Source organism: Homo sapiens, chromosome 3, assembly GCF_000001405.40.
Source record: "Homo sapiens chromosome 3, GRCh38.p14 Primary Assembly".
Lineage (NCBI taxonomy): Eukaryota > Metazoa > Chordata > Mammalia > Primates > Hominidae > Homo > Homo sapiens.
Genome location: NC_000003.12, coordinates 48,197,285 through 48,209,820, shown reverse-complemented (window position 1 = coordinate 48,209,820; position 12,536 = coordinate 48,197,285).

Here is a 12,536-nt window from a genome sequence, read left to right as displayed (position 1 = left end):
AACCCAGAAGGCGGAGGTTGCAGTGAGCTGAGATCGCTCCACTGCACTCCAGCCTGGGCAACAGGAGCAAAACTCCATCTCAAAAAAAAAAAAAAAATAAATAAATAAATAAAAGAATTGGAGCTCTCAGGGCTGCTCATGCAGATACTCAGCCCTGAGGTCATGGTGCAGCTGTGGTGGCAACACCAATCTAGTTCAGGCAAGACTGCTGCTGCCCCTACTGCAGGAGAAGGCATAAGGGGAGGTGGCAGAGGCCACAGTGTCAGGGGAGGAATCTGGGAAGAAGGCAGACTTGAGATGGAAGGGAGAGTAACAGGGCCAGGGGAACGGCCTGAGCAAAGGCATGGTGGCCAGCAGGAGCTGGATGAGGAGACAGGAGGGGAGCAGAGTGTTGGAAACCGTGACAGAGGGAAGGGGACAGTGGTCCACAAGAGACTCAGTGGGGGCCCCAAGTGGGAAACTGGGGCTTGTTCTGAGTCCAAGTAGACCACCGGAGGTGGGTAAGTGAGGAGGTTGCAGAGGGCAGGAATCCTAAACTCCAGGAGCCTGAGACAGAAGCAAGCCCAGCCAGGCCATCACCCAGCACAAGGGGTGCCAGGGTCACTTTAACAAAAAAATAACTGGACAAAAAACTCCCCCAAGCCAATAGCCATGCATCAATTTAATTTTCTCTCTTTTCTTTTTGAGACGGAGTCTCGCGCTGTCGCCCAGGCTGGAGTGCAGTGACATGATCTCAGCTCACTGCAAGCTCTGCCTCCCTGGTTCACGCCATTCTCCTGCCTCAGCCTCCTGAGTAGCTGGGACTACAGGGGCCCACCACCACGCCCGGCTAATTCTTTGTATTTTTAATAGAGACGGGGTTTCACCGTGTTAGCCAGGGTGGTCTCGATCTCCTGACCTTGTGATCTGCCCGCCTCAGCCTCCCAAAGTGCTGGGATTACAGGCGTGAGCCACTGCGCCTGGCCCAAACATCAATTTTCTAAGTGACCCATTTAGGCTCACTGCAACCTCTGCCTCCTGGGTTCAAGTGATTCTCCTGTCTCAGCCTCCCAAGTAGCTGGGACTACAGGCACACGCCACCATGGCCGGCTAATTTTTTGTATTTTTAGTAGAGATGGAGTTTCACCATGTTGGCCAGGCTGGTTTCGAACTCCTGACCTCATTATCTGCCCATTTCAGCCTCCCAAAGTGCTAGAATTACAAATATGAGCCACCGTGCCCAGCCTACTCTCACTTATCTCTGACCGGTTGTTCTGAGGAATTGTTCTGCTTCTGGGGGCCTGAGACTTCCAGGAGCCTGCCCCCTCCCCTCTTGCCATACCCCTCACTGCTTGCTCCACTCCAAAGGGCAATGAACAGTTCCTGTTGGTCAAACAAGGAATGAGAGGGAAGGACCAGGCCTGTGGTTTGTACCGTGCTGGCTCCTCATACATGCCAAAAGATCTCTTAAAGGCCCCATTGCAGGCAGCACACAGGGTGCAGGACCAGAGACATGGTGACCACATAAGCTGGGCTGCTAATGCTAGGGCTGGAAACCTTGGAGCCTATCCCAGTCCAGGCCTGATCTGCAACAAGATGTCCTGGCTTCAGTGACAGAACTTCTTCCAGCTTCTCTCAGCAGAGTCTGGGGTTGAACGATAAGTTGGGCTGGGCACGGGTGGAGGCCAAGGCTGAGTTGGAGGATGCACAAGCTTTCCAGAAGAGGACCAGGCTCAAGCCAGCTCAGTTGTGGGGCAGCCTGGTGGGTTTGGGTTCCAGTTCCTGTAGGTAGGCCTTTACTCTGGACATGAATATGGAGAGGGCAGCTGGGACTCCTCAGGCAAGGCCTGCCCTTGGACATGGGACTGCTTTGGGAAGCATCTCTCCATTCCTCTGCCAGGACAAAGACTTGCAACCCCCCGGGATCTCAGGGTCAGCCTCCAGGAGATCATGTGCTTCAAGCAAGAGACCCTCCGGAGTGCAACTTCCAAGAGGAGAGAGTAAGGCAGGGCACTCCATGTTAGGCCCCACACATCCCCACGCCTTTCCTGGGGGGCCCATGTGATTCCTCCCACAGCCCGGCTTGTCCCCAGTGGAGGTCAGTCCATCTGCTCATGGATGCCCTGGAAGGGTGGAAACTGCCCCATCCAGAGGCTCCCCAGGCCCCTGCCCACCTGTATGCCTTTTGAGAGGTGAAGACGGAAGAGACTAACTCCCTGAGAGGAAGAAAGGAGGAGACATCAGAATACAATTTCCACTGACTCTATTTCCCCAGCCCCACCCCTCTCAGGGATCTCAACTTGAACTCAGATCCGAGTGACACCTAGCTTTTGCTTATTTCCAAAAAGCAATTCAGATTTTAAAGGCCGCCTTCCTGCCCGCTTACCACCAGTTGAGAACCACTGATCCTGTCTCCAGCGACAACTTCCCTCCCTAGGGTTTTCTTTCTTTCCTGAAATAGAACTAATAAGCCAAGAGCATAAGAGAAGAGCCCCCAGGAGCTGAGATTGCAGGTTGGAGGGAGATGGATACCCAGGAGGGGTGATGGGTGATGGAGACTGCTGGGGATGGGTAGAGCTGGGACTAGTGGCAGTCGTGTAGATCAATGTCAAACCCTGGCTGTGAGTGGAAAACACTTGCTGTCCCTACAGCTGGTGAAGCAGGGGGCTCTCTCCATTGGGCAAGGAGCCCCTGCCACGGTGGTCACCTATATGGGCAAGGGCAGCCCCACTGAAATGAGTTATCTCCCAGCAAACTTGCCTACAGCAACAGTATTGTGTAGGGCCTCTGGGACCCATCCTGTCACCAAAGGAAAAGCCCCAACACTAATTTCTGGGGTTGTCGTGGTAACAATACCATGCAGGGAGCCTTGGGCCAGGTGCCACCTGGATCTGAGTTCAAACTGGGACCCCTGAGAGGGGTGTGGCTGGGGAAATGGAGCCAATGGAAATTATGTTGTGTGCCTCCTCCCAGCCGCACCGTGGCCATAGTGTCTATGGAGTCTGGCCACTTGAGTCCAGGGATGTGACCTGTGTGTGTGGTCCTCTAAGATACAAAGGGCTCCTGTGTGTCCACCTCCTTTGAGCTCACAGCACTCCTGGAAGGACAGGGCAGGGGTAACCATCAGCCCCATTTGGCAAGGGAAGAAACTGAGGTCCAGAGCCAGGTGGGAGAGTTGCCTTGAGAGGCAGGTCTTGGCTAAGTCATGGCTGGTGGCAGGACTCAGACCTCTGGCTCCAGTTCACAGTTTCTCTTGGTCTGATCTGGGGCCTCCTATTTCTCTCAACTGTGCTCCCTGTCCCCTTCTGTCTTGAGCCCACCAAACACCACCCTGACCAGCCCTGTGTCTCTCCTATAGTCTAGTGCGGCAAGAGGTGCTGGGGATTCAGCTTTTCAATCTGCTGAACTCTGGGCATTGACAGGCTGGACTAGGGGTGCCCTTCTGCCCTGTGCTACCTCCAACTCTCTTCCTTCCCCTCCAGGCTGTACCCCTGCTCCTCTGGCTGCTTAAGACCAGGAACAAAGACTCCAAGGAGACTCTGGGCAAGTATGGAGGGAAATACGTTCCTCATAGAATGGCCTCCAGGAGCCCCTTCCTGTGTTGTTGGGAGTGTGGAGCCACTATTGCCAGGACTGGCTACATAATTTGCAGCACCCAATGCAAAATGAAAATGTGGGGCCCTTTGTTCAAAAATCATAAAGAATTTCAAGACCTCAGAAACAGAGCATTGAACTAAGTACAGGGCCCTTCTGAGTGCAGGGGCCCTGTATGACCGCACAGGTCACATGGCCATAGCTCTGCCACCAGCACCAGAAAACAGTCATAGCAGGAAGGAGTTCAAGAAGTGGCTTCAGGAATTCCTCAAATCACAGAGATTTAAATCATCTGGGAAACATAACAACATGCACTTAAGACTTTATTTATTGGTTTGGTAAAGTCTTCTTTAAGAAATTAAGGGCTGGGCGCAGTGGCTCACGCCTTCAATCCCAGCACTTTGGGAGGCCGAGGTGGGCAGATCACAAGGTCAGGAGATCGAGACCATCCTAGCTAAGACGATGAAACCCCATCTCTACTAAAAAATAAAAAAACTTAGCCAGGCATGGTGGCAGGAGCCTGTAGTCCCAGCTACTTGGGAGGCTGAGGCAGGAGAATGGTGTGAACCCGGGAGGTGGAGCTTGCAGTGAGCCGAGATCGCGCCACTGCACTTCAGCCTGGGCGACACAGCGAGACTCTGTCTCAAAAAAAAAAAAAAAAGAAATTAAGAAAGAGCTCTAAACCCATACATTCAAGCGTGTGACCAACAACACTGACTATTGCAACTTTCCATTGTCCAGAAGGGGTAACTGAGGCCCTCAGAGAACAAGGAGAAAAGGGCTTGGCAAAGCCCCAGGTGGGGCGTGGCCATGCTGGGGTTCAACCCCATGCCAGTGCTCCTTCTGCCTGCTGCAGAATTAGGAGCACCCCCAGCTACCCGAACCTAGCGGGCAACTGGGAACTTGGAGAGCTGGCCTGTGCCCTCCTCTCCAGCCCAGTGCCCTTGGAACCCATGCAGGCATAGAATCAGTGAGCTGAGATCGTGTCACGCCTGGGCAACAGGGAGAGACTCCATCTCAAAACAACAACAACAACAAAACAAAACAAAAAAACACAACTGACAGGCAGGGCTTAGTGGCTCATGCCTGTAATCCCAGCACTTTGGGAGGCCAAGTTGGGTGGACCATGAGGTCAGGAGATCGAGACCATCCGGCCAACATGGTGAAACCCCATCTCTACTAAAAATACAAAAATTAGTTGGGCGTGGTGGTAGGTACCTGTAGTCCCAGCTACTCGGGAGGCTGAGGCAGGAGAATCACTGGAACCTGTGGGGAGGTTGCAGTGAGCCAAGATCACACCACTGCACTCCAGCCAGGGGACAGAGCGAGACTCCGTCTCAAAAAAAAAAGAAATTTGGTTACCTCTGTGGCATATAATGATTTTATGTAACAATTATAATTATTAATAACAAACACTAAGCCATATCAGAATTATAGGAGTATTCCATAATTTGGGAACACATACCAATAACATATTTATACAAATACAGCCCAAAGAAAACCAAACGCCATTTTATATTTGACAATGCTTTTGTATGACTTTTTTTTTTGAGACGGAGTTTCGCTCTTGTTGCCCAGGCTGGAGTGCAATGGTATGATCTCAGCTCACCACAACCTCCACCTCCTGGGTTCAAGCAATTCTCCTGCCTCAGCCTCCTGAGTAGCTGGGATTAGAGGCATGCGGCACCACGCCCAGCTCATTTTTGTATTTTTAGTAGAGATGGGGTTTCTCCATGTTGGCCAGGCTGGTCTCAAACGTCCAACCTTAGGTGATCTGCCTGCTTCGGCCTCCCAAAGTGTTGGGATTACAGGTGTGAGCCACTGCGCCCGGCCTTGTATGACTTTTAAACCAAATAAGCCAAATGTTACTGTTGCATTAATGCATTATTGATGTCAAACCCAATTTTTCTTTCTTTTTTTTTTTTGAGACGGAGTCTTGCTCTGTCACCAGGCTGGAGTGCAGTGGCGCAATCTCGGCTCACTGCAACCTCTGCCTCCCGGGTTCAAGCGATTCTCCTGCCTCACCCTCCCAAGTAGCTGGGATTATAGGTGCCTGCCACCATGCCTGGCTAATTTTTGTATTTTTAGTAGAAATGGGGTTTCACCATATTGGCCACGCTGGTCTTGAACTCCTGACCTCGTGATCTGCCCGCCTTGGCCTCCCAAAGTGCTGGAATTACAGACCATGAGCCACCACACCCAGCAAACCCAATTCTTAATAAAACCTTATAGACAAATATATTTTAATCTTAGTCAGTTTGACCATAAGGTAAGATTTTCATAAACCTTTTATAGCCCTTTACAAATTTTTGTTAAAGAGCAGATCATCATGGCCAGGACCAGTGGCTCACACTTGTAATCCCAGCACTTTGGGAGGCTGAGTCGGGCAGATCACCTGAGGTCGGGAGTTCAAGACCAGCCTGACCAACAGCAAAGAGTGCAAGGCAGATCAATCCAAAGAGAATAGCAGTTAACATCCTGTAATGCTAAACCTGTTCTTAGCTGAAAGGGAGTTTACTGAGAGTAGCCTCCAACTCCCTAAATCTTAAAGGGACTCTAACCCTTCTAAGTTGGGCCTCTAACCCAAGGTCAGTCAAGCATTCTTGCCTTTTATTTTTATTTATTTATTTATTTTTGAGACGGAGTCTCACTTTGTTGCCCAGGCTGGAGTACAGTGGCATGATCTCGGCTCCCTGCAACCTCCACCTCCTGGGTTCAAGTGATTCTCTTGCCTCAGGCTCTTGAGTAGCTGAGATTACAGCCTTGCACCACCACACCCAGTTACTTGTATTTTTAGTAGAGATGGGGTTTTGCCATGTTGGTCAGGCTGGTCTTGAACTCCTGACCTCAGGTGATCCACCCACCTCAGCCTCCCAAAGTACTGGGATTATAGCCATAAGCCACCGCACCTGGCCTCCTGCCTTTTATTAAGAAAGGGGCCTCTAACCCACTCTGACTTAGGAGAGACTCTAAGTCCCCTAAATTGGGCCTCTAACCCAATCCCATTCTTTACCCGGATATAGGCATCCCACTTACCCAAAGTCCACCAATTAGTCCTGCAGTCCATTTCCTTTGGGGCAGGTGGTTTCTTCAATATTGTCCTTTCAGGATTCATCAGAAAGATGTTACCAGACCCCACCACTTACACAGTTAGCCTTTGGGTTGGGGATTTCCACACTATAGTCCCTTCATAGTCGCCAGAAAGATGCTACAGGAAAGGGGTCCCGATTCAGATCCCAAAAGAGGGTTCTTGGATATCGCACAAGAAAGAATTCAGGACAAGTCCACAGAGCAAAGCAAAGGCAAGTTCATTAGGAAAGTAAAGGAGTAAAAGAATGGCTACTCCGTTGACAGAGCAGTCCTGAGGGTTGCTGGTTGCCCATTGTTATGGTTATTTCTTGATGATATACTAAGTGAGGGGTGGATTATTTATGCCTCCCCTTTTTAGACCATATAGGGTAACTTCCTGACAATGCCATGGCATTTGTAAACTGTCATGGAGCTGGTGGGAGTGTAGCAGTGAAAATGACCAGAGGTCACTCTCGTGGCCATCTTGGTTTTGGTGGAATTTAGCCGGCTTCTTTACTGCAACCCGTTTTATCAACAAGGTTTTTTTTTTGTTTTTTTTGTTTTTTTTTTTTTTTTTTTTTTTTTTTTTTTTTTTGAGACGGAGTCTGGCTCTGTCGCCCAGGCTGGAGTGCAGTGGTGCGATCTCGGCTCACTGCAAGCTCCGTCTCCCGAGTTCACACCATTCTCCTGCCTCAGCCTCCCGAGTAGCTGGGACTACAGGCACCCGCCACTGCGCCCGGCTAATTTTTTGTACATTTAGTAGAGACGCGGTTTCACCATGTTAGCCAGGATGGTCTCGATCTCCTGACCTCGTGATCCACCCGCCTCGGCCTCCCAAAGTGCTGGGATTACAGGCGTGAGCCACCGCGCCCGGCCTTTTGTTTTTTTTTTTTTGAGACGGAGTTTCATGCTTGTTGCCCAGGCTTGAGTGCAATGGCGCGATCTCGGTTCACTGCAACCTCTGCCTCCCGGGTTCAAGCGATTCTCCTGCGTCAGCCTCCCAAGTAGCTGGGATTACAGGCATGCGCCACCACGCCCGGCTAATTTTTTTTTTTTTTTTTTTTTTTTTTTTGAGACGGAGTCTCACTCTGTTGCCCAGGCTGGAGTGCAGTGGTGCGATCTCAGCTCACTGCAAGCTCCGCCTCCCGGGTTCATGCACGCCATTCTCCTGCCTCAGCCTTGAACCAAGTAGCTGGGTCTACAGGCGCCTGCCACCACGCCCGGCTAATTTTTTGTATTTTTAGTAGAGATGGGGTTTCACCGTGTTAGCCAGGATGGTCTCGATCTCCTGACCTCGTGATCTGCCCGCCTCGGCCTCCCAAAGGGCTGGGATTACAGGCGTGAGCCACCGTGCCCAGTCTAATTTTGTATTTTTAGTAGAGATGGGGTTTCTCCATGTTGGTCAGGCTGGCCTCAAACTCCCGACCTCAGGTGATCTGCCCACCTCTACCTCCCAAAGTGCTGGGATTACAGACATGAGCCACCGCGCCCAGCCCCAGTAAGGTCTTTATGACCTGTATCTTGTGTCAATCTCCTATCTCATTCTGTGACTTAGAATGCCTTAACCGTCTGGGAACGCAGCTCAGTAGGTCTTAGCCTTATTTTACCCAGCTCCGATTCAAGATGGAGTTGCTTTGGTTTAAATGCCTCTGACAGTCCCAGCAACTAGGGACTGAGGTACGAGGATCAATTGAGCCCAGGAAGTTGAGGCTACCAAAGTGCTAGGATTACAGGCATGAACTGCCACACCTGGCTCAATCAAAAGTTTGTTGTGTTTTTTTTTTGCTGGGCACGGTGGCTCACGCCTATAATCCCAGCACTTTGGGAGGCCAAGGCGGACAGATCACCTGAGATTGGGAGTTTGAGACCAGCCTGACCAACATAGAGAAACCCCATCTCTACTAAAAATACAAAATTAGCCGGGCATGGTGGCGCACGCCTGTAATCCCAGCTACTTGGGAGGTTGACACAGGAGAATCGCTTGAACCAAGTAGCTGGGATTACAGGCATGCGCCACCACACCCAGCTAATTTTGTATTTTTAGTAGAGATGGGGTTTCTCCATGTTGGTCAGGCTGGTCTCGAACTCTCGACCTCAGGTGATCTACCCACCTAGGCCTCCCAAACCGCTGGGATTACAGGCGTGAGCCACTGTGCCAGGACTGTTTGGATTTTTTTTATAAGAAGACTATGTCCTTTAATAACAGTTATAATAATTTTAAAGAAGGAAGGGGAGAATAAGAAAGAGGAATAGAGTGGAGAGGAGGGGAAGGATGCGTGGAGAAGGAAGAAGAGGAGGAGAAGCAGAAGCAGCAGATTCAGGGTGACAAAATCCAGGACTTGCCTGTGGGGAGAGGCAGTGAGGGGCCTGGAGGGGCAAGATTCCCTGAAAGGCCAGGTACTGCCTGCGGAAGGGTGATGGGGCAGAGACAAGTGGATTGCACAATTGGCAAAGCTGGGGCCACCACAGGTGAGGGTCCCCTGTGTTTCCTGAGAGAAGCCCCATCCCACTTTACTATGAGAGTCTTTCTTCCTTTCCTATTATGAAAAGCAATATACAAGAAACTTAGTGAAAACCCCAAATAATAAGAAAGGGTACACAATGAAAAGTGAGTCTAAGCCCAGACCCACTCCTCAGAGACAGCCACCATCAAGCTGGCTCTGTGTGTGTTTCCAATATGTCTCAAGGTCTTTTGATTCTTAGGCCTTGGGCCACGTGTATTATGGTGGCCATAGAGGCGATTCCGAAGTACTCACTGCCCTGGGGAGCTCACCATTCGGCTAGATGATCAAGAACACAATGTTGCTATTAGACAGGGAGGGCTGCTGTGTGAGAGACCGTGAAAGGTAGTACTGCTGCCCCCAGGGACAGGTAGGACATCGTGTGGGTGAAAGCACAGCAGGTGGGGACGGTGTGAGCCAAGGTATGATGGTGAGAAGATCACCACAGATTCCATGAGCAGCAACTAATTCAGTGTAGAGTGCAGCATGTGCACAGGTGGGAGCGAGCTGGCCAGCCTGGGGACCTGGAGGCCATGCCATCGCCATGAGGGTGTTGAGCTTTCATGGACATTCAGCAGCCGCTAGCCCTGGCCAAGTCAGAGTCAACCTCTTGATTTTTCTTTTTTTTTCTTTTCTTTTTTTTTTTTTAAGACAGGGCCTTGCTCTGTTGCCAGGCTGGAGTGCAGTGGTGTGGTCACAGCTCATTGCAGCCTCTAACTCCTGGGCTCAAGCGATCCTCCTGCCTCAGTCTCTCTAGGGGGTGAGACCACAGGTGCACTCCACCACACCCAGCTATTTTTATTTTTATTTTTTTCGTAGAGAGGGAGTCTCGCTATTGCCCAGACTGGTCTTGAATTCCAGGGCTCACGTGATTTGCCTGCCTCAGCCTCCCAAAGTGCTGAGATTACAGGTGTGAGCCACTGTGTCCAGCCTTGATTTCTAATACATCCATGAAAGCTGAATCTCAATCTCTTGACCAGAGGAGCTATGGAAGAGAAAATTGGAAAGAGGTTAAAGATGAAGAGGGTTGTGGTAGGGGTTGTGGTGCTGAAGGATGGGGTGCAGGGGGACAGTTTCCACCTCAGGGAGACAGGGCAGCCAGAGCACAGACTCAGCTGAAAGAGATCTGACCCAATACGATGTCCTTTTGTGGCCTTGGACAACCCCCTCTCTACCTCAGTTTCCTCCTCCACCAAATGGGAACAGTGGTGACCCCTGCCTTGAACTCACAGGAGTGCCCTGAGCAGGGATGAGGGAGATTATAGAGGAACCCCATGCACACATCATGTCCTGGCACAGGTGGCCAGAGTCCATGTGCAACATGTCCATGAACAGAACATGGGTGCCCTCTCAAGGTGTTGTTACCATGACAACCCCCAAGGACTTGGGTTTTTGCCTTAGTGATGGGAAGGGCCCCAGTGCTGCCTTGAGGGTTATTTTCAAGCTCACTGATAGGGCTACAGAGTGGAGAGTACTTCCTCCTCCCCTTCATGGGAAATCTCTCCCCAGTACTGTAGAGGTGGCCTCCAAGGTAGGGTCTTGCTCAGCAGAAACAGTCACCCACCAAACAGTTCTTTTCTTTTTTTTTTTTTTTTCTGAGGCAGAGTCTCGCTCTGTCACCCAGGGTGGAGTGCAGTGGCATGATCTCAGCTTACTGCAACCTCTGCCTCCTGGGTTCAAGCGATTCTCCTGCCTCAGCTAAAAATACAAAAAAGTAGCTGGACATGGTGGCACACGCCCTGTAGTCCCAGCTACTCAGGAGGCTGAGGCAGGAGAATCTCACCACTGCACTCCAGCCTGGGCAACAGAGTGAGACTCTGTCTCCAAAAAAAAAAAAGAAAAGAAAAAAAGAAAGTACGGGCCAGGTGTGGTGGCTCACGCCTGTAATCCCAGCACTTCGGGAGGCCGAAGCGGGTGGATCACCTGAGGTCAGGAGTTTAAGACCAGCCTGGCCAACATAGTGAAACCCCATCTCTACTAAAAATACAAAAATTAGCTGGGCGTGGTGGCATGCTCCTGTAGTCCCAGCTACTTGGGAGGCTGAGGCAGGAGAATCGCTTAAACCTGGGAGGCAGAGGTTGCAGTGAGCCAAGATAGCACCACTGCTGCACTCTGGCCTGGGCGACAAAGCGAGACTCTGTCTTAAAAAAAAAAAAAAATTGTACATAGCAACTTTTTCTTTTCTTTTTTTTTTTTTTTGAGACAGAGTCTTGCTGTGTCACCCAAGCTGGAGTGCAGTGGCGCGATCTTGGCTCACTGCAAGCTCCGCCTCCCAGGTTCACGCCATTCTCCTGCCTCAGCCTCCCGAGTAGCTGGGACCACAGGCACCCGCCACTACACCCGGCTAATTTTTTTGTATTTTTTAGTAGAGACAGGGGTCTCACCATGTTAGCCGGGATGATCTTGATCTCCTGACCTTGTGATCCACCCGCCTCGGCCTCCGAAAGTGCTGGGATTACAGGCGTGAGCCACCGCGCCCAGCCCATAGCAACTTTTTCACAACAGTCAAAAGGCAAGAACATCCAAAGTGTTCATCAACATGTCCATGAAACTGTGGTACATCCATTCAATGGAATGCTGCTTGTCAATAAAGAGGAATGAACTAACCATACTTGCAGAAACACAAATAAGCCTCATAAACATTGCACTAAGTGAAATAAGCCAGATGCAAAGGTCACATATGGGATGATTCTATTTATACAAAATGTCCAGAAAGGACAAAACTATAGAGATAGAAAGTAGGGGCTGGGCGCAGTGGCTCACACCTATAATCCCAGCACTTTGGGAAGCCCAGGTGGGCAGATCACCTGAGGTCGGGAGTTCAAGATCAGCCTGACCAACATGGAGAAACCCTGTCTCCACTAAAAATACAAAATTAGCCGGACGTGGTGGTGCATGCCTGTAATCCCAGCTACTCGGGAGGCTGAGGCAGGAGAATTGCTTGAACTCGGGAGGTGGAGGTTGCAGTGAGCCGAGATCGCGCCATTGGACTCCAGCCTGGGCAATAAGAGTGAAACTCTGTCTCAAAAAAAAAAAAAAAAAAATTAGCCTGGTGTTGTGGCACAAGCCTGTAGTCCCAGCTACTCAGGAGGCTGAAGCAGGAGAATCACTTAAACCCAGGAGGCAGAGGTTGCGATGAGTCAAGATCGAGCCACTGCACTCCAGTCTGGGCGACAGAGCGAGACTCTACCTAAAAAAAAACAAAAAAACAAAAAGTAGGTCAGTGGTTACCAGGGGCCTGGGTTAGGAAGAGGAGACTAACTGCAAAGGGGAGTGAGGGAGCATATTTGGGACAATGAAAATGCTCTGTGTCTGGATTGCAGTGGTGGTTACACCATTTAGAACATTTGTCAATGATCATAGAGGTAGGTAATTTACATCTCAATTTAAAAA